The 27,880-nt window shown below is 45.8% G+C and overlaps 2 long non-coding RNA genes across 3 annotated transcripts; both read left to right on the top strand.

The window, feature by feature from the left end:
- The first annotated feature begins 153 nt into the window (after positions 1-153).
- Positions 154-26,234, top strand: LOC107984941 (uncharacterized). Its single transcript, XR_001737977.2, has 3 exons — positions 154-259; positions 21,964-22,051; positions 24,749-26,234. It is a non-coding gene; the product is annotated as an uncharacterized LOC107984941 (long non-coding RNA).
- On the top strand, positions 7,508-15,767 carry LOC105378648 (uncharacterized). 2 transcript variants are annotated; one of them, XR_947188.2, is made up of 4 exons: positions 7,508-7,558; positions 8,248-8,364; positions 9,071-9,301; positions 14,267-15,767. It is a non-coding gene; the product is annotated as an uncharacterized LOC105378648 (long non-coding RNA). The 2 variants fall into 2 exon arrangements; XR_007065829.1 differs by lacking the exon at positions 14,267-15,767 and having other exon boundaries at positions 9,071-10,579.
- Positions 26,235-27,880: the final 1,646 nt, after the last annotated feature.

The following is a 27,880-nucleotide window of genomic DNA, read 5'->3' as shown; positions in this document are numbered from 1 at the left end:
TATATGTGCATCACCTGAGCCAGGGCATGACACATAATAGGTACAATTATGATGGTCACAAGACTTACCACGTGCATATTTCCCAATGCAATTCTCCCATAATGTTTAGTCTGATTTTGTGTTTTCCTAGTAAATTCAAATTCAGCCCCATTTCATTATTTCAACTGTAGAAGAGAAGACCCCATGGACACCTCATCACCAAAGCAAGTTAGTTGCTTTAATCCTTATTCTACGAATGGGAAACTGAAGCTCAGAGAAGGTAAGTCAATTCTTCGAGGTCACGCAGATAATACATGGTAGAACCAGGATATGAACCCAGGTTTTTCTGACTTTGAAGCCCCCACTCTTTCCAAATCCCTGTGGTCTGTGGCAATGGGAAGCATTACGGAGGAAAGTAAGGAAACAGGGACCAGTTTGGATGCTGTTGCAGTGGTCCAGATGAGAGATGACAGTGGCATGATAGCAAAGATGGCCAGAAAGGGGTAGATTGAGGCTATGTTTAGGAATACAGCTTGCAGGCCTGACTGATGGATTAACCTGCTGAAGGGTTTTTGGCTTGAGCGACTAAGTGAGTAATGATGCCGTTTTCTGAAATGGAAAGACCAGAGAAGAAACACATTTCAGGGAGGGGATAATCAAAGATCCTGCTTTGGTCTTGTTAAGTTCAGGTGCCTATTAGTCACCCAAGTAGAGCTTTTGGATCGATAGCTGGGTAAATGCATCTGGATCTCAGTGGCGAGGGCAAGACAGGCGATATCCACAGAGAGATGACAGGTAAAGCCAGTGGATTCCATGATATCACTTGAGAGGGAATGAATACAGAAAAAAGGTCAGGGACTGAGCCCCTGGGCCCTCCAACATTTGGAGATCCAAGGTCGGGGGGGTACCAGTGAGCTGGAATGTGGTATCCTAGAGGCCCAGAGGAGTCAATATGTCAGGAAGGAAAGAGTGGACAGCTCTGTTCAATGTCCATTAGAGGCTCTGTGAGGGGAGGACCTAGAAGTGGCCAGTGGAGTCTGGCCTATGACCTTCATTAAGGCAGATACTATGTGCAGCACCCACTGAGCCTCACCTCATCCCCATTTTCACCCCATTCTTTGACCTTTTATGTACTCTTTGAGGCTAGGCCATCCCTCTTGCTACTGTTTTTAAGACTGAAAAAACATTTCCATTTTAACTCTCCTTCATGCCCTTATTCAGCAAATAAACATTATGCAAATAAACATGCAGGTCCTATATCGGTCACTGGGGACACGGCCATAAGATGTGGCCTTGACCTTGACACTGGGAACTTTAAAGGGAGAACAGATATGTCAGCAGTTCCTTACAGTAGATTCTGGTCATGTTCTGGTAGAAAAACCTCCTGGCGACTCTGGGAACACAGAGGAAGGCCAGGGAGAGCTTCACAGAGGAGGTGATACTTGGTCTTGGCCTTGAGGGATGAATAGGAGTTCAGCCAGCGGGCAACAGGGTTCCCTTTGCCCTGACAGAGGGAATGGAGGCACAAGAGAGCACAGTAATTGGGAAACTGTGCTTCATTGGGCAGCTGGAGCAAAGAGTAAATGTAAAGGGCATGGAATGGTGCAGGGCCCAAGTCTTTAGGGACCTTAAGCATGAGGCTAAAAAACTTGGACTTTGTAGGCCAACATTTCCTCCAAAATTACCTCTAACCTTAAATCCCAAGTTTCCTATGCGAAATCAATAAATCCCAGGGTGAAATACACAGGGCCTGCTGCAGAGGAGACCCTTCCTCCTGGAGACGCACTGTGTTCATTAGCATTTAAAAGGCCAGACAAACACTACAGGAGAAAGAAAAGAAAAGAAAAGAAGAGAAGAGGAAAAGAAAAGACAAGACAAGAGACAAAGAGGGAAAGAAGGAAGGAAGGAAGGGAGGGAGGGAGGGAGGGAAGGAAGGAAAAAAGGAAGGAAGGGAGGGAGGGAGGGAAGGAAGGAAGGAAAAAAGAAGGAAAGAAGGAAAAAAGGAAGGGAGGGAGGGAGGGAAGGAAGGAAAAAAGGAAGGAAGGGAGGGAGGGAGGGAAGGAAGGAAGGAAAAAAGAAGGAAAGAAGGAAAAAAGGAAGGGAGGGAGGGAGGGAAGGAAGGAAGTAAAAAGGAAGGAGGGAAGGAAGGACAGAAGGAAGGAAGGAAGGAAGGAAGGAAGGAAGGAAGGAAGGAAGGAAGGAAGGAAAGGAGGGAAGGAGGGAAGGAATTTACCTTCTGATTTTCCAAACGTACATCCCATGTGACCCTTGGTCATGGAATGCATACTGGCATCCCCACACAAGTAATGTTGCCCAGTCACACAGTGGGAAAAGTTGTGCCAGGGCTGGGGATCATTCACAATTTAAGCAGGAGAATGGCTCCCCTGGAGGCCGGACAATGGCAAGATGGCCATTAAGGGGCCTCATTAGCCCTGGAACCCATAGATGGGGACCAAGTTCATCCCTTTACCCAGGGACTAAGAACACCTTCATTTATTTCTTCAGCAAATATCTGGTGAGCACCTCCTCTGGCCAGCTGTGCTGATGCCGGCAGTACAGTGCAGAAAAAACTCAGGCACAATCCCTGCCTCATGGTGCTTTCTGGCTTACAGACGCTATTACTATTCACATAATCGCATAGATTGAGATTTGGAGGAAAATACACAGTTCTGTAAGAAAGGAACCTGGCATCCAGGATGGTTTTCCTTAGTAAGCTATGCCTGGGCTGAGATCTGAAGGATGGGCAGGAGTAGGCAAAGAAGAGAGGTGTTGGGGGAATGACATTCTGAGCACCATGTGCAAGGGCCCTGAGGCAGAAAGGAAAATACTGCAGCTATAACACAAAAGGGAGAGCCAAAAATGGTTGCCTACTGATCACTTAGCAACTTTGGTTCACAGTCTTATCTATGACTGTGTATGCCTGGCCACACATTAGAAATCAAGTGCCCCCAGTATCTGAGATTTGAATGTTCTAGAAAGAACATCCAGAAGGATAGCCAGAGGAACAGCAGTCTGCACTGGCATTTTCTGCTTAACAAAGGAGAGAGTGAGGAGTGGAGAGGGCTCCCAGAGACCTGGCAGATTAGCTCAGCTGCTTCAAATTCAGCTCTCCGAGGCCAAGCGTCCGTTCCCTTGTGAGTGCCTGGCTTTGCACAGAAAACCTCCTTTCTCGGAAGGAGCCTAGCCAAGCACTGTGCTAGGTGCCTCCCACACATAAACTCAAGTTGCCAGGCACCAGATGTCCCTACATGATCCGGTCCTAAGGCTCACCCTTCATGTAATATTTGAGTAAAACGGTCCCCGCAAGCATCCCACATATGGTAGGAAATCCGGGAGCCCCAACAAGCCCTGAAGAGACATGTTTCTCCTTAATATCATTCACATCCAGTTTCTCCTTTGGCTGAGTCTCTATCTCACTGGGATCTTGCCTCCTGTCAGTAGAAGCTTGATTAACTGTTACTTTCCTGGGGCAGAGGCCATGCCATTCTTGTTAACCATTGTTGCTCTGGTCCACAGAAAAAAAGCCCAGTGCATAGTAAAAATGGTGACAATAGCTTACATTTGTTTTACTTTTACAAATAAAAGTCGCTGTTCTAAGGGCATTAGACACAGTAACTTATTTATTCCTAGTCTCATTCCTATGTGGAAGGGTTATTTTTAGTTCCATTATATGGATAAGCGTAACTGTGGCTTGGGGAGGGGATGTCACCTGCCCGGGTTCACACCGCTTGTAAATAGCAGGAGCAAGATTTAAACTCAGGTCTTTGGCTCCAAAGCTTGCATTCGTCGTCTCTATTGCCTCAATGAATACGTGCTCGGTAACTATTTGTTGAGTAAATGAACGATCCCTTCTTTGGGGTGGAAGCCTGGCCTTCCTCACCTGGACACCTTAGGGCAGTCCCTTGGTCAGAGCTTGCTGCAAGAATCCATTTTGCACACAAGTATAGCAAGGATGGTGGTCTGGCTTTACAGCTCAGGACTGAGAAATCTGTCCAAGCTGGGGAGAGTTCTAAGAGGCAGTCATTCTGTGACAGTTGGCAGCTTGATGGGACATGGCTGGAAGGGGTGATGACTCCGGAAATCAGAGCAAGACTAAGCAACCCCACCCCACCCTCACCCCCACCTCTGCGGGCTCCAGGGCAATTGCTAGGTTCTTCTCACTTTGGCGATGTGCATTTGTTGGTGAGCACCATGTCCAAGCCAAGTTAAATGAATTCTTGTCAGCATCCTGTGTGTGGGTGTATGTACAGGAGGAGGGGGGAGGTAAAGAGAGAGGGGAGAGATAGATAGGAGTGTGATACATTTCAGATTTTTAAAAATCAAAATCAGTTAAAATCAAAATAATACTTTGGTGCCTAAAGGAGATAAACTTCAATTATCTTGAATCTTTCCTTCTGAGCAAAGCCCACTGCTGATAATGCTAAATAAATGAGGTGTTACTGTATTAATGTTGTCAACAATAACAAACATTTGCATAGCATTGTTCAGGCTACAAGACATTCATTCATTCCTTCACTGGTCACTGTGTCAGATAGGAATGCTTACAGCTGCAAGCGTCTGCATAGGAACTAGAAGTGGCTCAAACTTAGTGGACATTTATTGTTAATTAACTATAACTTTCATGGTAGGAGTTCCCAGGGCTGATTTGGCAGCCCAGTGTATTATAATATCATTGAGGATCCATGCTCTTCTCTTTCTCTCCTGCCATCCTCAGATGATGTTGTTCTTTCCAATTGTGGTTGCCAGTTGGTTACTTCATCACCAAACCCCTCACTCTCCTTAACAATCTTGACAGCAGGAAGAAAGCTTCAAGAGCAAGCATGCTCTCCTCACACACCTCCTTTCTTTGATCAGGGATGGAAATCTGTCCCAGAACTCCCAGTAGACTTTTCCTTGTATTCCATTGGCTAGAACTAGGTCACACACCCACCCACCCCACCCACCCCGCCCATAGCAGTCACCACGAAGGGACACAGGGTTGCCATGACTTTTCCAGAGCCATCAGGCACAGTTGTCATCTGGCCTGAATTGGGGCGCTGCTAGCAAGAATGAAGGCAGAATGGCCATCGGATTGGTTGCATTCATTCATTCCACAAACATCTTTCCCATGCCCTATTCTTTTATTTTTATTTTTTTTTTTTTTTTTTTTTTGAGACGGAGTCTCGCTCTATTACCCAGTCTGGAGTGCAGTGGCACTATCTCAGCTCACTGCAAGCTCCGCCTGCCGGGTTCATGTCATTCTCTGCCTCAGCCTCCCAAGTAGCTGGGACTATAGGAGCCCGCCACCACACCCAGCTAATTTTTTGTATTTTTAGCAGAGACAGGGTTTCACTGTGTTAGCCAGGATGTTCTCGATCTCCTGACCTCATGATCCGCCAGCCTCGCCTCCCAAAGTGCTGGGATTACAGGCGTGAGCCACTGCACCTGGCCCTCCCATGCCCTATTCTAGGTGTAAAGGATATGCAAATGATTAAGATGGAGTTCCAGTGACATCTGTGCTATATTATCTCCATCTTACGGATAAAGAAACTGGCTCAGATCGCTGAATCGGCTTGCCTGAAGCCCCTTCCAATGAAGGATCCCATTCCAAAGCCCTTGCTCCTTCCACCACGAGTTGCCTTTTTGATTGCACAAATCTTCCTGGAGTTACCCTGAGTGGCATGGCCTGTGTCCTCCCTAGAAGGATGCTAAGAGGATTGTGTTTTATGCCTTGGCCCTTTGCTGGCAGGTGCTGTTCTGCCCAATCTGAGATTTATGGAGTCCTAAGATGCTCCCACAGGATGCAGATGGAAGATGCCCCCTCTCTAACAACCAGGCAGGCTCCCTGCAGATGGGCCCCAGATGGTGGCATTATCTGAGCAGTGGGATGGAGCCAGGAGAGGGGTGCTGAGAGAGGTGGGCCAGGCTTGGTCAGCCAAGTGTTCAGTGGAGAGCGTGGCTCAGGCTGGAGGGATGATGCCTGGTAGGTTCAGAGCTGCCGGCCTGTGACAGGTTTGGCTGAGGTTGGCACTGTTGCCCCAATCCTGGCACTTGTTACTTCACATGGATCGGTGCCTAGTAGGGAGTGGTGCAGACCCTGAGCTCACTGGAGCCTCTGATTGATGCTGAGCCCAGAGTCAGGAATATGAGGGCTCCTGGCTGGGTTATCACCGTTGTGCTGTGACCATGCCTGCAGACCTGAGATGAGGCAGGCTCGGGGGGCACTCTCCTGGAAGCCCAGTGTGGCTCTCTCCCATTGGTTCTCCTCACGAAGTAATAGGAGTAATGGCTAAAAATATGGACTCTGGAGCTGGACTTTCTGGGTCTGCCTCCTGGCCTCACCGGTGGTTAACTGTGTAACCTTAGGCAGGTTGCTTAACCTCTCTGGTTTCAATCTGTAAAACAAGACTAATAACGGTGCCAACCTCATAGGATTGTTTTGAAGCTTAAATAAGAAAGATCACGTGTGTAAAATGCTTTGAACAATACAGGCATGTAGTGAGTATCAGCCGAGATGATTATTACACCAACGCCTTGACACCGTACAAACCTCACTAGCTTGTATAACCCAAATGCCAGCTGGGTGCCTCCATGTTCTTGCATTTGAGTGATGACTTGGGGGAACTTTCCAATCTCTATGTCTTGGAGAAGTCCCACTCCCTCCCTGGGATTGCTATGAGATCTGGGAGACTTGAGGTCTCTGGTTCACATCCCTTTCCTCTGAGTCCACCTGGGTTGAAGAATTCAGCTGCTACTTCATTGGTTTTTACAACAAATCCGATCTCACCAAGCATTCAGGATGTGCCCACACTTGAGTGGTGGTGGGAGTGGGGTGTCGTGGGGGGGTCCCTCAGTGCACAGTGCTCTCTCACTGCTCCTTCCCCCATTGTCTCCCCTCCTGCTTTCCAACCCTTCCCCATCTGTTCCCCTCCTCCCTCAGCTAAGCAGAAGAACGTCTCCCTGAGCCACACCAGTAGCTGCCATTTATCAAGCACTTGTTATGGGCCAGGAGCTGTTCTAGGTACTTTATAGAATCACCACGTTTAAACCTCATGAGACATCTGCAAGTACAAGCTTTTGCTATCCCCATTTTGGGGACCAGGGAAGAGGCCACACAGCCAGGAAGCAGCAGATACAGGGTTCAATCCAGGCAGTGTGGTCTCCGAGCCTGGCATTCTACAATCTACTGCACTCTTTGGCTTCTTCTGTAACCTTAGCTTCAGGCATGGAGGCTAAACTTACATCTACATGAGTTTATGAAAAATCTTTTCCCAACAAACATGTAATCTCTGCTTAAGGGCAATTCCTACTCTAATCTGTTCCTTCTTTGTTTGTCTCTCTGTGCACACAGGGAGACAGAAAAGTGTTGAAGGAAAAAGGTGGACTTTGATGCTGCTCAGGTTGGAATTTCAGGCTTGGCTCTTCACCTCTCTGAGGCTCAGTTTTCTCTCCTGTGAAATGGGTTAATAACAGTACACAAGGCATTGTGATGGTCAAAAGAGTTATGACATACACGCCTGGGTCAGTGGGTGGTCAGTAATGGGTGCCCGTTATCATCAGTATCTCTCCCCGCCAGCTCCCAGCATGGGGCCTTCCACAGGTAACATCAGAAAGACCTTGTTAGGTTGCATTTCTAAGTCTTCTGGGCTGGCTTCTGGTGCAGTTTCTCCATGGTCCACCCTGTTCATCTTCCTGCCTCCAGCTGGGTTCTCTCCCACCTCGAAGCCCCCTCTTCCCTTCTGTACCATCTCTAGCAGTAGAGGGTCCCCTCTTTCCAGTGTCTCATAACCCCCTGTAAAGCTGGTCCAAGAGCAGAATTCATCCGGGCTGGTAGGGGATAAGACTGAGTGACTGGGTGTGCCTCCCACTCACCTGCCTTGCTGGCAGTGACAGCCTCACCCAGCCTAGAGAGCACCTGGCCTGAGACAGGCCGAGAGAGGGCCAGGCTGCACTCTTCTCAGGGTGCAGTGGGTCCGGGCTCCACTTGGCTGGGACCTGTGCTGGGGGTTGGAAAAGAAGTTTCTCCTGGGAGGGGGGTGTGAGTAGCAGGAGACCTCCTGTGCCCACAGCCTGTCCAGTTCCCACTGCAATCCCTGAAGCCGCAGAGCCAGATGGAGGCAAGGATCAGGTGCCCCAGGCTCCAGGGCCAGCCCCATGCAGCTAGGCTGAGGGATCCTGGGTAGGTCCCTTTACTATCTGTGCCTCCTTATCCTCTGCACAAAAGAGCTTGGGGACAGCTCCACCATGATGGGTGCTTGGACTCGGATCAGTGTGAAACTGTTTGGCTAGGGATACCCTGCATCCTGCGTGGACACACCCTCTAAAGTGGAGGTGGGAAGTTGGGTTGACCTGGCCTCTGTGACCTCTGTGGAGGAGAAGAGAACCCTCATTCCAGACCACAGACAGGTTTGAGCCTCCCCATAGTGGGGCTATTAAGCCACTCAGCCCCTGAAGAGCCCGTGTGTCTGTGTTGATGTGTGTGTCTGTGTTTGCATGTGTGTATGTATATGAGTGTGTCTGTGCTGTATGCGTGTGTATGTGTCTATGTTTGCTTGTGTGCATGTGTATCTCTGGTTTTCTCTGTGTGTGTCTACGTTTGCATGCATGTGTGTGTGTGCGCACCTCTGTGTGTATATCTTTGTATGTGTGTGCGCATGCGTATGTATATGTATATCTCTCTCACTGTGTGCGTGCATGCGAGTGTATTTGTGCTGCTTGTGTGCTAAGCTGTAAGTGCTCTTCCTGCTCCCCCACCTCCCTGGAAACCAGCCCCTCCTCTGGTGCACTGCAGGCCATGTCTTCCCTGTCTTCTCTGCATAGAGTGTAAAAACCCGCGTTTTTGTGTCTCAGTCACTTCTAATGGCAGGAATGGACTTCGGCAGATGAGTCGCCTTCAGGGTTGCTGCCTTCTTCTGTTCCAGCCTTTCCCTTTCTCTATGTCTCCCCCTTACCTGTCTTATCCTCTCCACTTCCCCTTCACGGGGCCTCTGACTCTCTCTCTTGCCCTTCTTTCCCAGCCCCTGTCTCTGCCTTCCTCCTTTTGTCTCTCCTCTCTTCATCTCTCCCTTCCTGGCACTGCATCTCTCCCTGTCTCTGTCTCCCCCATCTCCAGCACCAGCTGACAGCTGATCCTCTGGGAGGCGTGAAGATGGAGTTGGCAGCTGAGGAGCTGTGAGGGTGCCGAGCCAGGCGCCGGGTGGAGCTGCTCCACATTCAGGATGGGAGATGGCGGCTTCCAGGAAGGCAGAGGAGCCTCTCAGAGGGCAGGAAGAGGAAGAGGAGGCAGAGCTTCCGGGCAGAACTGTGGGGTCAGGGTGTCAGTTATCCCCAGGAGGGGACCAAGGTCTTCAGGGAGGTGGAGACGGGGTGGATGGGGGATGAGGTTCTGAGGGTGGCACGTGTATGTGTGCATGAAGCCTGGAAGCTCCTAGACAGGAGAAGCCCGCTATTCTGAGTCTTGTCCCTGACTCCCCCTAACCCAACACGTGCCTGGCACTGACACATGAAACCCTAGCCGATGGCATGGGAGCCCATTTCCTGGGAGCTCTGGGGCAGCAGACCAGGAGAGAGCTGCTAGTCTGGGAGCAGAAGGTGCCCAGCATGCCTCACTGCGCCATCAATTATGCTGAGCGTTGTGGAGGAAAACCAGGAGGCAGAGAGCAGGAGTGAGATCTTAGGGCTCCTTGCTCTCCAGTGCCCTGACCATGCTGCACAGCAATGAAAGTGGCCTGAAGGACAAGGACTCAGAGTCACCTTGTGCTCTTCAGAGAGCTCACAGCTCACAGAAGCAGACTATTCTGTTTTCAGAAACCAAGTCTCCTAGAAAGAACACACAAAGTGACAAACTCCTATTCATCCTTCAAAGCCCAGCTCAGATGTTATCTTGTCACAGGAAGCCCTTCATGACTCTCCACCTACAGGGACTCTCTTCCACAGCATGTCTCTACCTCGGACCTGTTTCTTTCATGACACCGAGCCCACCACTTGGTAATATTTGTATATCTGCGTGTCTTCCTCATGAGACTTAGAGCTCCTTGAGGGTGGGGAAAATATCTGATCTATTTCTCTAATGTCTAATATGAGGCAGACCGAGAGTGGGTTTCTGAGTCAGACACACAGATCCTCAGATGACGGACTGGGCTAGAGAAATAGGGTTGGGCAGGAAAAGATGCTTCAAGTCCAGGGACCTATTCTGAATGTCCCAGGGAGGGGCAGGGTGATGGAGTAAGTGTAGCTGCCCCTCCTGAGAATCAGGACACCACATCTTAATGGGCCATTTGATGAGCACTATGGACTGAGGCCCCATTCTTGGTACTGTTTTCCCTGGGACCCCGGGGCAGAGAACAATATGGAGGTGAGGGGAGGTGGTGGGAACTCCACTCTGAAGAAGAGACATGGCCCTGACCCAGAGACCTTCAGTCTGAGGAGGATGAGCATGGCTCTGTCCCTCGAATTGGAGGGAGCACATGCCTGTAGAGACAGTGTCTCCTCACTCTATAGGCTGGTTTGTCACAATCCAGGTAACGTCTATCTGTCTGTCCTGTCTCTCATTCAGTCTTAGAGCAATTCCTCCACTCCCCATCCTGTGTCTAATGAACCTGACATTCAGAGAAAATGTCTTTGGTAAAGGTCACAAGAGGGAGGTGGCATTCTTGCTGACAGCACCTGTCCTTCCTGTGCCAGCACTCCCTCCTTCAAGACAAAGTGCCAGGACTACGTCCCTCAGAACCCGCACCTGCCCCACCAGTCACCACCTCCAAGCCTCCCAGTCTTCATAAACCCTCTCACTTGGAAAGACACCGTGCAGGTTATTCATTCTCCCTGCTGGCCATAGAAGTTGCAGGGATGACTCAGATCCGGCCCTACCTGGCAGGGTGCTAGGGTAGGCATATCCTAGGAGCAGCCAAGCTGAATTCCTAGCTCCAGGGTGTATCTGTAGTGGGAGGTAAGAGATAAGGCCAGCAAGAGAGGCAGAACCTAGGTGGTGAAAATTACACACTCCAGCCTCAGAAGCTTGGCCTTGATCCTGAGGACACTGGTGAGTCATGAAAGAGTGTGGGCACGGAGATGTTCACATTTGTGCTTTGGGAAGATCCCTCTGGCTGCAGGATGAAGGATGGATGCAGATGGAGGCAAGAGATGACCGTGGCCTGGTCTAGGGTGGTGGATGGATTGGAGAGAGTTTTTTGGCCAAGGGAGAGGAAGTGGTGGAAGATGGGGTGCAAGTTTTAGCCCTGGTGGCTCAGCGGAAGGTGATGGTGTTTACTGAGATGGGAGGAGCAGGTTGGAAAAAAGATGATGAGTTGGTTTTGAATATGTTGAGTTTGCTTGGGAGACGGAGATGTCCAGTGGACAGTTCGAAAGAGGATCTGGAGCTCGAGATGGAAGTCTGTGCAGGGGAGGTGGACTTCGAATGGCCTGTGCTGCAGTTGGTAATTGAAGCTGTGGTGCGGACACGGTGTGGACACCGTTTCAGAGGTATGGTGGGAGACCAAGCAGGGGGGAGGGCCCAGGACAGCACCATCAGGGATGCTGGTATTGAGAGGCGGGGCATGAAGAGGAGGTCATGCTGGAGTCTGAAAGGGAGCAGTCAGAGGAGAGGACTTCAAGGGGAGAGTGGTCACCAGGGCCACCTACTCGTCAACCCTCAAAGGAAGCCTTTGCCATTCTTGTTTCACAGGTGTAACGGCAAAATAACTTGCAGTAGAATTGGGAGTCAAATCTGGCTCTATCAGATTCCAAAGGCCGACTCTTGGCTATGCTTACACTTCTACCTACAGAGGCTGGTCACCCACAGGACATCCATGTTCAGTTCTCAATCCAGGGGTGCCCTTGGGGAGGAGGGCTTAAGGAGGCCTGTCCCACTAGGATGAGCTCTGCATTAGTTATACTGCTCTTAACCGTGTGCCTGGGGAGGTCCCAACCATTCTCCCCTCAACCTTACTCTCAAGTTAACTCCATATGACCTGTCTTCTACCTCAGATTCTCTGCTTAGCCCCCACGATTCCCAAAGTGACTGGAGTCTACCATAAATACCAACTTAATAATTGCTAATAATTCCATGGCACAACCTACATTCTAGCTTCTCTCTATACATTAGTCTTCCAGCAACCCTTGAGATAGACAGCATTATCTTTGTTTTATAGATGGGGAACCTGAGGCATTGAGCATTTAAGTACTTTGCCCAAGCTCACACAGCTGGCAGATGGCAGAGCTGGGATTCAAACCTAGGCAGCTTGTGCTCTTCACTGCTCTAAGCCCTTCCTCTTGGCTCATGGCCATCTCTTCTTCAGATCCTATTTCCTTCTGTGAATCTAGTGAGTACTCAACAACATAAGGCTAGGCAGTGCCTGCCACTCGTGGATGATGGGAATGAGGGTGGTGATGGTGGGGACACTTAGGATGGCACCCTGCCTGTTGTCTCTGAAGATCACGCCTCTCTCTGATTCCCCTTATGGTGCAGCTGCAGACTTTGATGGTGGGGACGGATTTGCCTGGAGCCATCAGCACTTGGAACCTTGTGTTTCAAGGATGTTAAAGGGGGCAGTTTCAACAACTTGTTGTCAGACAGACTTGGTTCAAGTCTATGGGAACTTAGACACATGACTTAAAACTATCCATGCCTCTAGTTACTCTTCAGTAAAATGGCCACGACAAGAGCAGCCCCATTCCCCCTGCACACAGGATGGGGGAGAAGGAGGTGATTATAAATGGCAAAGCTTTGTGCGTTCGTACACTTAACCCAAGCCCTACTCCCAGGCCCCATGGAGCAGTTGGGAGTGCGTGTGGTTATTCCATTAGGAAGACCAGAGTTTGAATCTTGGCTTTTGTTACTCCGTCTCTGCCTCCCTTGGCCTCAGTTACCTAATTTATCAAGTGGGGGTAATAATAGTATCTACCCCATGGTATACAGAAGCAACTGCTTTTTTTCAAACCACCACTGTGTACACACCCTTTGTCTTTTGGGAAAGAGGCATAATTTTTCTCCAGGGTGGATTGTTCTTTGTTTAGCAACATGCCTTGATGGCCTTGATGGCTGTTTTTAGAGGGAAAATTACCTCCCCTTCTCCAAGAGCATGGACTCAGCAGGCTTGGCAAGATAGCAACCCTGCCTGCTCCACTGGGACAGATGCTGCTGGTGCCCTTGTGCCCCTGCCCTCCATGCTCAGCCCCTGCGAGGTTCTGAACCCCTCCAAATGAGAGCCTTCTCAGGGCCTGCCTGAGATGCAGGTTGGACCTGCCAGGGAGTCACTGCCACTGGGAGCAGCCTTCAGCCAATAGCAGACGGAAGTTGGAGGCTAAACACAGCTTCTTTGACCCTCAGGTGGGCCGACTCTGAGGTGTGTTCCACACCTCAGTGAAATGTCCCAGTGAAATGTCCCAGTGAAATGGAGCCCCTGTTGCCCACAGTGATGGCTCATCAGCACTCTGTATTGGCTCACTTCCCTTCCCCTTCCCATACCCCTTCCCCTTCCCACGCCCCTTCCCCTTCCCATACTCCTTCCCCTTCCCATATTCCTTCCCCTTCCTTCCCCTTCCCACACCCCTTTCCCTTCCCATACTCCTTCCCCTTCCCATACCCCTTCCCTTTCCCACACCCCTTCCCCTTCCCACACCCCTTTCCCTTCTCACATCCCTTCCCCTTCCCACACCCTTTCCCCTTCCCATACCCGTTCCCCTTCACACACCTCTTCACCTCCCCACACCCCTTCCCCTCTCCACACCCCTTCCCCTTCACACACCTCTTCCCCTTCCCACACCCCTTCCCCTTGCCACACCCCTTCCCCTTCCCATACCCCTTCCCCTTCCCACGCCCCTTTCCCTTCCCATACTCCTTCCCCTTCCCATTTCCCTTCCCCTTCCCACACCCCTTCCCCTTCCCATACTCCTTCCCCTTCCCATTTCCCTTCCCCTTCCCACACCCCTTCCCCTTCCCATACTCCTTCCCCTTCCCATTTCCCTTCCCCTTCCCACACCCCTTCCCCTTGCCATACTCCTTCCCCTTCCCACATCCTTTCCCCTTCCCATACCCCTTCCCATATCCCTTCCTTTATGAAGAAACATAAGTCTCTTCAGGGCTTGTCGGGGCTCCTGCCGTCCCCTCCCCTCCTCCCTCTCCTCCCCTCCCCTCCCTTCCCCTCCCCTTTTTCTCCTTCCTTTTCCCTTTCTCTTCCCTCCCTTCCCCTCTCTTCCCCTTTTTCTCTTCCTTTCCTTTCCCTCCCCTTCCCTTCTGTCTTCCCTGTTCCTTTACCCATGCTTCCTGGGAGCACCTCCAAAAAAATGACTTGCACTCATATCCTTACCTCAGGTCTCCTTCTTGGTGAACTCAGCTGAAGACATCCAAGATGATGAGAGTCTCCCCAAGATATAGGAGAAGAGATGTAAGAAGGGCTTTGAGAGACCAGGAGTCTGAGCAACATGGTGGAAACTGATAGGCTTGAAGATGAGACATAGCCAGTGAACATTACCAGGAATGGCTGAGGCTCAAGAGTGTGGGTTTGATTTTAAGTCATGTGCTGGCCTGTGTAACCACTCTCATTACCCTCAAACCTCCAGTGAAACTCACTCATCTGGGACAGCGTTGTGCTCCTGGGAGCTTTGGGGAATCAGAGAGGCTGCAGAGTTTTCTGGGTTAGCTCAGGGGAGAGAGAATCAGATAGACAGATGTATTTCTAACACATACAAATACGTTCTAACAGGAGAACTTATACCTTCTTCACTTGCCAGGGAGAAGCCCAAAGGAGTGGCTATGCCCCAGACTAGAGAAGCCAGAGGTGGCTTCCCAGTGGTCCAAGTTGGGGCTAAAAATGTTAGTGTGTACTTTAATTTCCTGGGGCTGTCTTAATAAACTGCCCCAAACTAGGTGGCTTACAAGAGATATTTAGTCTGTCACCACTCTGGAAACAAGAAATCTGAAGTCAAGGTGTCAGCAGGACTGTGCTCCCTCCGAAAGCTCTAGGAGATGAGAGGCCTCTCCCGGCCCCCGGTGGCTGTTGACCTTCTTTATGATTGCATCACCCCAATCTCCACCTTCCTCTTCACGTGGCCTTCTCCCCTCCTTTGTGTGTCTGTGTCTTCTTCTGTCTCTTATAAAGACATTGATCAGATTTTGAGTCTGTCCAGGGCAATCCAATATGATCAATCTCATCTTAAGATCTGTAACTTAATGATGTGTAAAAAGACCCTTTTTCCAAATAAGGTCACGTTCACAAGTTCTGGGGGGCAGGATGTGGACATTTCTTTTTAGAGACCACCATTCAACCCACACATTGGGGGTCTGCCAGGCAAAGAGAAGCAGGATGTGAGCTCCCATGATAGAACCCCCAGCAGACAATGAGAAGGGCCATGTGAGAGAGGATGCTGGGCAGAGAGGAGCTTGCCTGGTCTGGGCAGAGACAACATAGAGGCAACAACCTGAAGTGTCAGGACTCAGAGAAGACACTGGGTGTTGGCACCAAGGTCCACAGGGAACCCCAGGCCAGACCAGTTATGAGAGGTAGGCATTGGGGAGGGCTGCAACTTGGTGGGCACATGAGTGCTCGGGGTATGTCTTTGGACACTGAGGTTGCCAGTTTAATTCTAGACTCCTTTCCTTCCCCAACACCTGGAATGGGATTGGACCTCTGCTTTCGTGACAGTCCTGACTGTCTCCCTGGCACTGAGCCTTGATGTCTAACTAATACCATGGAAGCTTGGTGGCTTTGACCCACCCTGCCCCAGGCAGCCCTCCAAGCATCCACAGAGCTCTCCCCTCCTCAGCATCTACCAGGCACCTGCTCCACAGGTGTCCACATCCCAAACAGTTTTTTCCAGCCACCCCTGCCAGTTCTTTTAAAATGGGTACATGCTTGCATTTGGCATGTTTATTTATAAAGTATATTTCTGTATCACTGCACTAATGTTTTACGTGTATTGTAAAACATAATTAAAATTATTTAGATTTAAATTGATAAGATAAAGATAAAATATTTTAAATCATTTTATTGTACATAGTTATTAATATTAATGGTTCAAAGCACTTTTGTTCTCACTAAAAGATTAAATGAAGGCCAGGCACGGTGACTCACGCCTATAATCTCAGTACTTTGGGAGGCCGAAGTGGGTGGATCACCTGAGGTCAGGAGTTCGACATCACGCTGGCCAACATGGTGAAACCCCACCTCTACTAAAAATACAAAAATTGGCTGGGCATGGTGGCAGATGCCTGTAACCTCAGCTACTCGGGAAGCAGAGGCAGGAGAGTTGCTTGAACCCAGGAGGCGGAGGTTACATTTAGCCGAGATTGCACCATTGCGCTCCAGCCTGGCCGACGAGAGAAAAACTCCATCTCAAAATAAATAAATAAATAAATAAATAATAAAAATTTAAAAAAGATTACATGGGAACCATGTGATTGAAAATGTTTCATTTTTAAAAAGCAAAGCTGTGTGATACGGCAAGTCAAAGGCCTGGTTCTTAATTCAGATTATTTTGATACTTGGTTTTAATTACTGGAGGTGTCAGGGAGGAAGATTACTTGCAAAGATGCATTGTTCTAAATGGAAAAACAACAATGCTGGCTGTGCTTACTAAATACTCATAGTTATTTTACATTCTCATCCACCAACTATGCAAAGTTTTTTGTTGAAATTCAGCAAGCAAATTTCCATCTTCCCTGATGTCAATCAGTGATTCTTGCAAACTAATCAAAAGGTGTTATATTTTTATATTTTTAGCAAATCAGTTCTGAAACACTTTGGAAGTTTTTAAACAGGTTAAAATATTGTTTCCAAGTTTTTAAAGTTTTCATACATAGGAGTTGCTATGGGTGATATATGTACAACATTTTCTATCACAAAAATCACCAAACAATGACATTTCCAAACGTTTGTTTTAAAAAAAAAAATGCTCTCTCCATAGCACTAGTTACTTTCAGAAAGTAATTTCTCTTTGAGTCATTATTCACATGTCAAATGTACCACGGAGAGACAGAGAAAATGTGTGTGCTTTTTTTTTTTTCTTTCAAGATCTCTGTCACCTAAATGCAATGTGGTATCCTGAATTGGATCCTGGAACAGAAAAAGGGCATTCGTGGCAAATCTGGTAAAATCCAGAGTCTGGAGCTTTGTTAATAGCAATGTACAGTGTTAATTCTTAGTTTTCACAAATGTATCGTGGTTATGTAAGAAGTTACATTATGGGAAACTGGGCACAGAGCATACAATTACTCTCTGTACTATCTCTTCAACTCTTCTGTAATATAAAATCATTTCAAAATTTAAAAATTCACTTAAAAAATGTTTGGGCCGGGTGTGGTGGCTCCCACCTGTAAATCCCAGCACTTTGGGAGGTCAGGGCAGGAGGATTACTTAAGCCTAGGAGTTTGAGACCAACCTGGCCAACTGGTGAAGCCCCGTGGGCACTAAAAATACAAAAATTAGCTGGGAGTCATGGCGCATGCCTGTAATCCCAGCTACTCAGGAGGCTGAGGCAGGAGAATCACTTGAACCCGGGAGGCAGAGGTTGCAGTGAGCCAAGATCACGCCACTGCACTCCAGCCTGGGTGACAGCGGGAGACTACATCTCAAAAAAAAAAAAAAAAAAAAAAAAATATATATATATATATATATATATATATATATATATGTATATTTATTTATTTATTTATTTAATGTTTGGTTGTATAGCATACTTTTGACAGCCATTTATTTAAATGGTCAGCAAGTTTAAAACACTTCTTTTTTTGTAAAAGAAAAATGTATGGCCGGGCACGGTGGCTCACGCCTCTAATCCCAGCACTTTGGAAGGCCGAGGCGGATGGATCATGAGGTCAAGAGATTGAGATCATTCTGGCTAACACGGTGAAACCCTGTCTCTACCAAAAATACAAAAAATTACTCGGGCATGGTGGCAGGCGCCTGTAGTCCTAGCTACTCGGGAGGCTGAGGCAGGAGAATGGTGTGAACCCGGGAGGCACAGAGCTTGCAGTGAGTGGAGATCGCCCCACTGCACTCCAGCCTGGGTGACAGAGCAAGACTCCATCAAAAAAAAAAGAAGAAGAAGAAAAGAAAACAGGCAACCTACAGAATGGGAGACAATTTTTGCAATCTACTCATCTGACAAAGGGCTAATATCCAGAATCTATAAAGAACTCAAACACATTTACATGAAAAAAACAAACAACCCCATCAACAAGTGGGCGAAGGATATGAACAGACACTTCTCAAAAGAAAGACATTTATGCAGCCAAAAGACACATGAAAAAATGCTCATCATCACTGGCCATCAGAGAAATGCAAATCAAAACCACAATGAGATACCATCTCATACCAGTTAGAATGGCGATCATTAAAAAGGAAACAACAGGTGCTGGAGAGGATGTGGAGAAATAGGAACACTTTTACACTGTTGGTGGGACTGTAACTAGTGCAACCATTGTGGAAGTCAGTGTGGCGATCCCTCAGGGATCTAGAACTAGAAATACCATTTGACCCAGCCATCCCATTACTGGGTATATACCCAAAGGATTATAAATCATGCTGCTATAAAGACACATGCACACGTATGTTTATTGCGGCACTATTCACAATAGCAAAGACTTGGAATCAACCCAAATGTCCAACAATGATAGACTGGATGAAGAAAATGTGGCACATATACACCATGGAATACTATGCAGCCATAAAAAATGATAAGTTCATGTCCTTTGTAGGGACATGGATGAAGCTGGAAACCATCATTCTCAGCAAACTATCGCAGAGACAAAAAACCAAACACCGCATGTTCTCACTCACAGGTGGGAATTGAACAATGAGAACACATGGACACAGGAAGGGGAACATCACACACTGGGGCCTGTTGTGGGGTGGGGGGAAGGAGGGAGGGATAGCATTAGGAGATATAACTAACGTTAAATGACAAGTTAAAGGGTGCAGCACACCAACATGGCACATGTATACATATGTAACAAACCTGCACATTGTGCACATGTACCCTAAAACTTAAAGTATAATAAAAAAAAAGAAAAATGTATAACGTCTTAAAATTCCACATTTCAGTATTTTTCCACAAGATAACCATCAAACTTCTATATCTCATTAAAAATAATCAAACCTCTATATCCTCAATATAAAATACTGTAAGGATTCTACTATATGTTAAAGATCTTATTTTGATAATATAGTCTCATCAATAACATCTGCATTATTTTGTACACTTCTCGCCTCAATTTATTTGCTTCAACAGTTAGTTTTTTGATGAATTTTACATTTGGAGTACTCTCGATAACTTTAATCCAGACTACTTCATGTATTTCAGTTAAGCACCCACTCTCTCAGTGGCTATATTTATATTGTTTTTCATTTAAAAAAACTGTTTTCATTAAGTAAGTCATTGGTTATTAAAACTGTATCTTCTTCAGTACATCTCATAAAAAAGTAATTCTTTGTGTATTTCATTATTGAAACCCAAATCCAGTGTATACCATAAGCTGAGACATGCTAGAAATATCAGTGCCTTCATTTGATGGTAGAGCAGATCTCCTACACTGCATAATTTGTTCTAGTACTTGTTTCTTCACATGTTTGGCAGTACTCACTTTGCGTCTTCCAACTACATTTGCTGACAAGGGAATGCATTTTAGTTTGTCCATGGATTGTGTTCTGTGGATTATTTCATCCATTTTTTTCTGAGGCAGGAAGAACAAGCATTTTCTTGATGATATGTGGCTTTTTATCTTTCACTGTTTAAAAAAAAAAATCTCAAAAGAGGCATCTAAACATTTGCCACAAAGTATGAGAACTGATGTAAAGAACCAGCGGGAGCATCACATAACCTTGGATATCATCGGAAAACAATATTAGAGGTTTGTCTTTGTTTTCCGGATGCTTCATTTTAAAGGATATTATTATATTAGTTAGGAGAGACTTGGTTTTGCTCTGATAACAAATATTCCCACTAACTGTGGCTTAAAACGATAGAAGCTTGTTGCATGCTACGTGCACATCACAGGTCAGCTATAGCACAGCCTCACTCTGGGACCCAGACTGACTGAGGTTCTTTCCAGAACATTGCCAGTCCTTGTGGCAAAGGGAAAAGAGAAGATGATAAACAGCACATTGGCTGTTAATGCTTCTGCCTGGAAGTGACATCCATCACTCCTTCTCATATTTCAATGACCAACACAAGTCACATGGCCACACTTAACTCCAAGCAGGCCAGGAAGTCAATCAATCAAAAAGAATGAGAGAAAATGTGGTATATATATTCCCTGGAGATATATAGATAGATATAGATATAGATATAGATATAGATAATGGAATACTACTCAGCCATAAAAAGGAAGGAAATAATAACATTCGTAGCAAGCAAACTGGATGGAGTTTGAGACCATTATTTTTTTTTTTTTTTGAGACGGAGTCTCACTCTATCACCCAGGCTGGAGTGCACTGGCTCAATCTTGGCTCACTGCAACCTCCGCCTCCCTGGTTCAAGCGATTCTCCTGCCTCAGCCTCCCGAGTAGCTGGGACTACAGGCACCTGCCACCATGCCCAGCTAATTTTTTGTATTTTTAGAGAGATGGGGTTTCACCGTGTTAGCCAGGATGTCAAGACCATTATTCTAAGTGAACTAACTCAGGAATGGAAAACCAAACATCGTATGTTCTCACTTATACATGGGAGCTAAGCTATGCGGATGCAAAGGCATAAGAATTATACAGTGGACTTTGGGGACTCAGGGGGGAAAAGTGGAAGTGGGGTAAGAGATAAAAGACTATACATTGGATACAGTGTACACTGCTCAGGTGATGGGTGCACCAAAATCTCAGAAATCACCACTAAAGGACTTATTCATGTAACCAAACACCACCTGTTCCCCAAAAACCTATTGAAATTTTTGAAAAATGAAACAATCTTTTAAAAAAGAATCAGAAATGTCTGGTGCATGGAGCCAATGACATCCACACATGCTAACTGCAGACACTTCACATTCTCATTAGCTAATTTCTCAAGGTTTATCATGAATGGTCACATGTACATAGCAAAGTCTTCTTAAATTTTTCCTCCTTTTTTTGCTAATTTCTTGTTGGGTATGATTAAATAATTGTCATTCATCCAAAACTTTCTATTCGGAGTAGAAATATCATCCTTTCCATTTTCTGGCTGTTTGATGGGCTTGCATTTATTAGTATTATCTTCAACTCATGATATTTTTGCAGGAAGTTTTTAAGCCATCTTCCCATTTTGTGAGGATTATTTTAGTTAAAATTACATTTTCTCATAGAAGGACATGCATAAGAATGTTCTTAGTGGCACTATTTATAATATCCAGGATGTGGATACACCAAAAGTGCTCATTAACAGGAGAATGGATGTGTGCATGCAGTGTAATGTTGTGCAACAATGAGAATGAACAAACTACAAAACAATGTGATTGGATGAGCCTCACAAGTGTAATGTTGAATTTAAAAAGTCATTCAAACACATGATTTCATTTATCCAAAGTTCAAAAACATGTAAAACTCATAGATGGTGCTAGAAATCAGGATAAGGGTTACCGAGGGGTAGGTAGTGATGGGAAGACGTCATAGAAGTGGCTTCAGGGGTGCTGGAAACTTTCTTTCTAATCTGGATTATATGATTATAAGAGATGTGTTCACTTTGTGAAAATCTATTGACTTGTACCCTTAAAAGTTGTATACCTTTTTGTATATAAATTATCCTGCAATTAAAACTTTGCTTAAGGTCAAACTAAATTTCATAATCCATGAATCCCTTAATCAGCCACATGTAAACTGAAATTCCATGGCTAGGAGTGGCATATGAAGGTAGATACCACCATTAATCTTATTGCTCTGTGAAACGCCACTCCTCCCTCAGCACACGTTGGCCCTTCCATGTACCATGACTACCCAACATATAACAGGACACCAATATCAATCCACATATTAAATACTAGTAACACTGAACTTGGGTCTTTTTAAATAGATAAATCATCATTTTAATATTTTCTTTGCACTTCCAAAGGATCATCTTGAGAACCCCACACTGAAGAGAGCTGCTCCTGTAGGACTTGAGTCCACATCAGGACCACAGACACAGCCTGCAGTCTCAGGTGAGGAGAAGCACGCAACGTAGACCCTTCCCCAACTGGCATATAACAGGGGTACCATGCTACCCAATAAGCATCAGAAACCTGTGAACAGATACTCTGATAATTTTAAGTGTATGGGAAACATGGGCTTCAATAATGCAAAACCAGAGGTCCTCATTAAACACCATGCACTGGGAAACCTCTGGTATCTCAGCAGATCATGAAATCTATGTTCTGGTGAAGCACATATTCTGCACACTAGAATGTATATGCATGGATTATCTATTAGTTTTAAAGAGCAACATGAAATGCACTTTAATACCACGCTAGTCAGGGAAAAAAAATATTTTGGACGATGCATAAGATACTTCAGAAACCTGTAGTGCTTTAAAAGACACAATTCATAAGAAATTGAGTTCACATTTGAATCCATGTCTTTCTGGCTCCAAAGCTCATATTCTTTTCTATATTATCCTGTTTTTTTACATAAGTATTAAAAATAGAAAATTCAGAGGACTCCAGAGAAAGAAGGAAAGGAAAATATGCCGATAAATCTAGGCTAATATGGTTCTTGTTTCAGTTCATGTTTCCTCCAAAACAGATTCTGAAACAACACTTTGGGTACAAATAATTTATCAGAGGTGATCCCAAGGAGTGTGTGAGGAAGTAGGAACACAAGGAGGGAAGAGAACCAATAAAGATATGTTCATGAGTGGGTTTTGCTGTGAGCAACTGGGATTCAATCCTGCCGGGGATCCTCTGTGAGGCTGTAGAACACACCTCAGAATTGTCCCATAAATGGGACAGGGGGGCTGAGATACATATTGTGACAGGCTGTATAATAGCCCCTCCCAATGGTGTCCACATCTTAATCCCCAGAACCTGTTATTAGGTTACCTTAGATGGCAAAAGGGACTTTGCAAATGGAATTAAGTTGATTTTATTTAGAAAGAATAATCTCAGAATATCTCAGTAGGTTCAATATAATCATAACTGCTCTTACAAGAGGAAGGCAAGAGGATCAGAGTCAGATATAGAAAGAGATTGAGGGATACTATACTGTTGGTTTTGAAGGCGTGAGAAGGAACCATGAGCCAAGGAAAGCAGGTAGCTTCTAGAAAAGGCAAGATAGCAGATTTTTCCCAAGGAGACTCCAGAAGGAATGCAGCTCTGCTAACCTCTTAATTTTAGCCCTTAAGAACAATTTTAGACTTCTGACCTCCAGAATTGTAAAATAATAAATATGTGTTATTTTAAACCATTAAGTTTGTGATCGTTCATTGCAACAATGGTAGCATATATATATGAAATCAATATCGGCATGTTTGGCAACTGTCAGCAAGTGATTGAATGGTAAATTTCGGTGTGAGCTTCCCTGTAACCATGAAAAACAAAATAGAAAGGATTGAGTTTCAGAGGCCTCTCTCTCATAAAATGTTCTTCATAACTTTTACCTATCACTGAATTCTTAAAGAAATGTATCACATAGGCTGTCATGTAGAAGACAATGTTTTCAACAGGAGTGTAAAAGAAAGTGTAGAAATTCTTTTCAGGTGTCTGTTTCTCAACCAGCCCTATATAAAAGTAAAAGGCAGAACATTCACCCCTAGTTTAGGGAAAATCATCTTTGTGGTGGGTGAACTATGTGGCTCTCTCCCTGAGGTGGAGCTTCAGGGACATTCAGGAATGAATGTCAATGACTTTCTTTTGCAAATATCAAGTGTCTCTCTGATTTGGGGCAGAGGCTAGACATCGAAAGCTAATTATTTTGAGCCTGGGCTGTCAGCAAGACCCAAGAGAGAAAATGCTCTGGGATGTATGGGATGGATGCCAACAAGCTGGGGTCCCCCATGGAAGCTTTGTCTGGCCTTCTCCCCTAAAGGGGATCCTTAATCAACAGTGTTCGGTTGCAAAGAATAGAACCCGTCAGGCTTTCTTAAGCAAAAGTGAGGGGCATATTATAAGGAAACAGAGCTTTCACTGAATTCAAGGACAGAAAACAAAGTTCAGGCAAGTTTTCTGGAAACAGGAAAGCACCTGGGGCCAGTCCACTTCTCCCTTTGCCTCCTTTCTGTATTTACATGGTCTCTCTCTTCTGTATCTCTCTCTGAGAGTCTGCTCTCCTCTCTCATCATGATCTCTCAGTTTCTACCCACCACTGACTCTTCATCACCTCTGGGCCCAGATTTCAAATTCCCAGTAGAGAAATGTGATGGCCTACCTCATTGTTTCGAGAAATCCTGCAAGGCACAGATCACTAGAAGCCAGTGGATAAGCCCTTTTGGGTCAGATGTTCCAATCACCCAAGAGAAGGAGGGATTTATGAGGGTTTGAGACCAGAAAATGGGCCCCACTGCCCATGTGGAGCCAAGTCTGAAGTGTGCAGGGTCAGAAATCAGCCCAAGATTCAGCTTTGGCCCTGCTGAGGGATCCAAAGGAGGACTTGGCAGAGGCCCCAGCAACTCTCCCTGCAAAGCAGGTGTAGTTGTTCCCCAATCCTCCATTCTTCTCTGTACCAAAACCTTTGCAATTTGACTTTCCAGCTCCCTCCATCAGGAATTGGGGTCTGTTTTCTCACCCCTTGGGTCTCGGCTGACTTCGTAACTTGTTTTGATCAATAGAATGCAGCAGGAGTGACAGTGCTCCAGTTGAAGCTGTGGCCTCAACAGGCTTGCACACGCAGCTCCCTCCCTCCCTCTTTCTCTCTCTTTCTCTCAGAATCCTGATGCTGCCTTGTAAACAAGCCTGCTAGAGGGATGTGAGAGATACATGGACAGAACACCTATTTGAGCCAGTTCTCCCAGCCAGGGTCATCTGAGACCAGCCAGTTGACTGTAGAGGTATGAGTATGTCCAGCCAAAGCCAGCCAAGCCTATCCCAGATCAGAAGAACCACCCACTTCGCCCATAAATTCATGAGCAATAATAAATGTGTATTTTTTAAGCTCTGGTATATTTTGTTACACAGCAATAGCTAACTGATATAGCAAGTCCAGGGGAATGTAACTATGAAGAAGGTGGTCTGTCAGTTTGACTTTAGTGAACACCAGCTGCCCCTAAATAATTACTCATCTTCCACTGCAGCCCCAAGCACCAGCCAGGTTGCAACTGCCACCAACATCTCCATACAAAAGGACTGACCAGCCTATGCATAGGCTGTTTGGAACTGACTTTTTTGGGCTTTACAGGATATTGGTCAAAAAGGACTTTTGCTCAGGCAAAGATGGTCTCCTCAGCAGAAGTCAGATTAGCCAGCAGGAGCAGCTGGACCTCAAAACCATGATCAAAAAGAGATGCCCTCTTTGCTCCAACAGTACAGAAGAGTAGGTCACCTAAAAAATCAAATCAAATCAGAGTCCAGTAAGCAGGAATAGACTATGCCTGGATGTGGACAGAAGTCTGATCTCTTAAGAGATTATTTCTCCTTGCTCTGATTCTCAAGTATTTGAATCTGGGACATCTGAACACTAAATATCAGACCAGAGCTAGGGCTACACGGATACAGAATTTTGCCACTTATAAATGCATTTGGGAAGGTTTTTTTTCCTAAGAAGAGCATCCATAGCTTTCATAAGATTCTCAGAAAAACTGTAACCTGAAAAACAACTGTAGAGAGAATGCTGGAAGCAACATTGCCTGCTGTTTATCAATGTTCCTACAGGTCTGACTCTGTGTATTACTCTATCCACATGTTATTGGATGTACACATTATAATTCCTATAAGAAAATTTAACCATATTATAGGATCTATGTATTTCTGTAGTTATCTATATCTTATAGGGAATGTCACTCTACCTGTGACTTACCCTAAGTATTTTCACTCTAAGTTGATGCATCTATATATTACTGTAACATATATATATTACTATAGTTGTGTGATACTGTATATTGATACTGTAGCTGTCACTTTGTTATGTATCATCCTTAGTATAGCTAAAGGTTATTATATGCATATGTAACTGTGGCTAAACATTATTGCAATTACACTACTACATTTGTATGTTACTGTTTCCATGCAACGATTCTGTTATTGTGTGTAGGACTCTAACGGTATTACCGTAAATCTGTGTTACCGTATTTATGTTATTGTGTCAGGTGTTAAAGCACTTATTACTGAAGTCAAGCTTAACTGCAACTAAATGTTACCGTGAATATGCATTTACTCCAATAATAAAACTGCAATAGCTACCATTCCTTAAGCACATTCTAGGTGTTGGACCCTCTTCTGCTGCATGGTTTACATACAATTACCTTACTAATCATACAATATGACATTGTGCAGGTCTGTATTATTATACCCATTTTATAGGTGAGGAAACTCAGGTGCAAGTAGGCTAAGTTACTTGCCCAAGGTCATACCACCAGCATGCAGCAGTGGAGGGCAGGGGAAGAACTTTGAACCCAGGTCTGTCTGACTAGCTATTTGTGACAGCAGCTGTGTAACTCTATAGACTGTTCTGTGTTTAGAGGCCAAGTACAGAAAATGGCTCATTGTTAACGATAGGGAAGGTACTTGCTGGATGTAGAATAAGGTTTTTTAAACTATCAACTTCATTTTCTGACATTTTTGTTGAGTTAGGAGCAATACAGAAACAATTAAGTTGCTAAAAGAACCTTGATTGAGTTAGCAGACAATAAATTTAAAGAAGAATAAAATTCATTCTCCTAAATTTCAATGAATTGACAAAGAGAGAAATGGTTACATGAGCTTAATTGTTGATGAGCTCTGTGCTTTTGAACTTTACCGATTCTAAAACTGCCTGCAGGCTGGGAAACCCTCAGGCCTATGAATGCCCTCCAACAAAACCACGACCACCAGGAATGGAGCCCCTTACTCACACCTGGCTACTCACCTCCTCCCAACCTTGAACAGTATAAGGACTCAGGTTTCCAAGGAAACTCAGAAAATCACCTTCCACTTTCGGAGCTTCCAATGCTTCTGATTCCAGCCAATTCTTCTTGGCCTTTGTCTCCTGCCTGTTTCCTACGTCCAGTTCTACATGAGTTCTCTCAGGAGTGAGGCCAATATGGCCGGGGCCTTCAGCTGGAGTCTATAGGAAGTAGTAGTTCCTAGGGAAGAGGCTTCCTGTGTCCCAGCCCCAGCACTGATCCTACTCTGGGCAGAGCCTGCCCCAGGCACACTTGTAAGATTGTCTCCCTTGATCTCATTGACTACTCCCCCTCTGGCCTTAAAACTCACAGATGATCCACCCATGCCTGGCTGCTCCATGGCATCTCATCATGCTTGCCACCCTTACCACCTCCCTGGCTAGGCATCACCCCTCACATGCTTCCCGGTCCCCTTCTAGGTTCCACTCTCTAGAGCCAACATCTCTCACCCCTTCATGGTGACCACCAGCTATATTTACAGGTATTTGGGACAGAGCTATAGAAGACCCCTCTCCTCCTCAAACCCAGGTAACACTGAAGCTCAATGAGCAGGGCTTCCTGGAACTAATGCCAAGATCATGTCTGGATTGTTAATGAGTCTCATTCTGAACATGCACAACACTGAACAGCTTTAGATCAAGGAGGACCCCTTAAAAATCAAGCATCTAGCTGAGGGATGGCAAATACAAGAAATGCTGCCCATCACTTCTGTATCCCATGTCTGTTGCAGATATCACTCATCAATCACAGACACTCTTTCCTACAGAGCCTGGGCACAGCTTCAGAATCCTTCTCCATCCACATCTCCAGCTACCACCAGTTGATCTGAAATGGCATATGAAATAAAATCCGTCTCCTTTCTAGGCCAGCTCCTTCATTGTGCAGATAGAGAAACTGAGGCCCAGAAGGAAAGCAAATTGCCCAGGTTCACACAAGTCAGATGCAAAATCGGGATAAGAGC

Source organism: Homo sapiens, chromosome 1, assembly GCF_000001405.40.
Source record: "Homo sapiens chromosome 1, GRCh38.p14 Primary Assembly".
Classification (NCBI taxonomy): domain Eukaryota; kingdom Metazoa; phylum Chordata; class Mammalia; order Primates; family Hominidae; genus Homo; species Homo sapiens.
The sequence above is the reverse complement of the archived record's forward strand: the minus strand, read 5'-3'. Positions and strand labels throughout refer to the sequence as shown.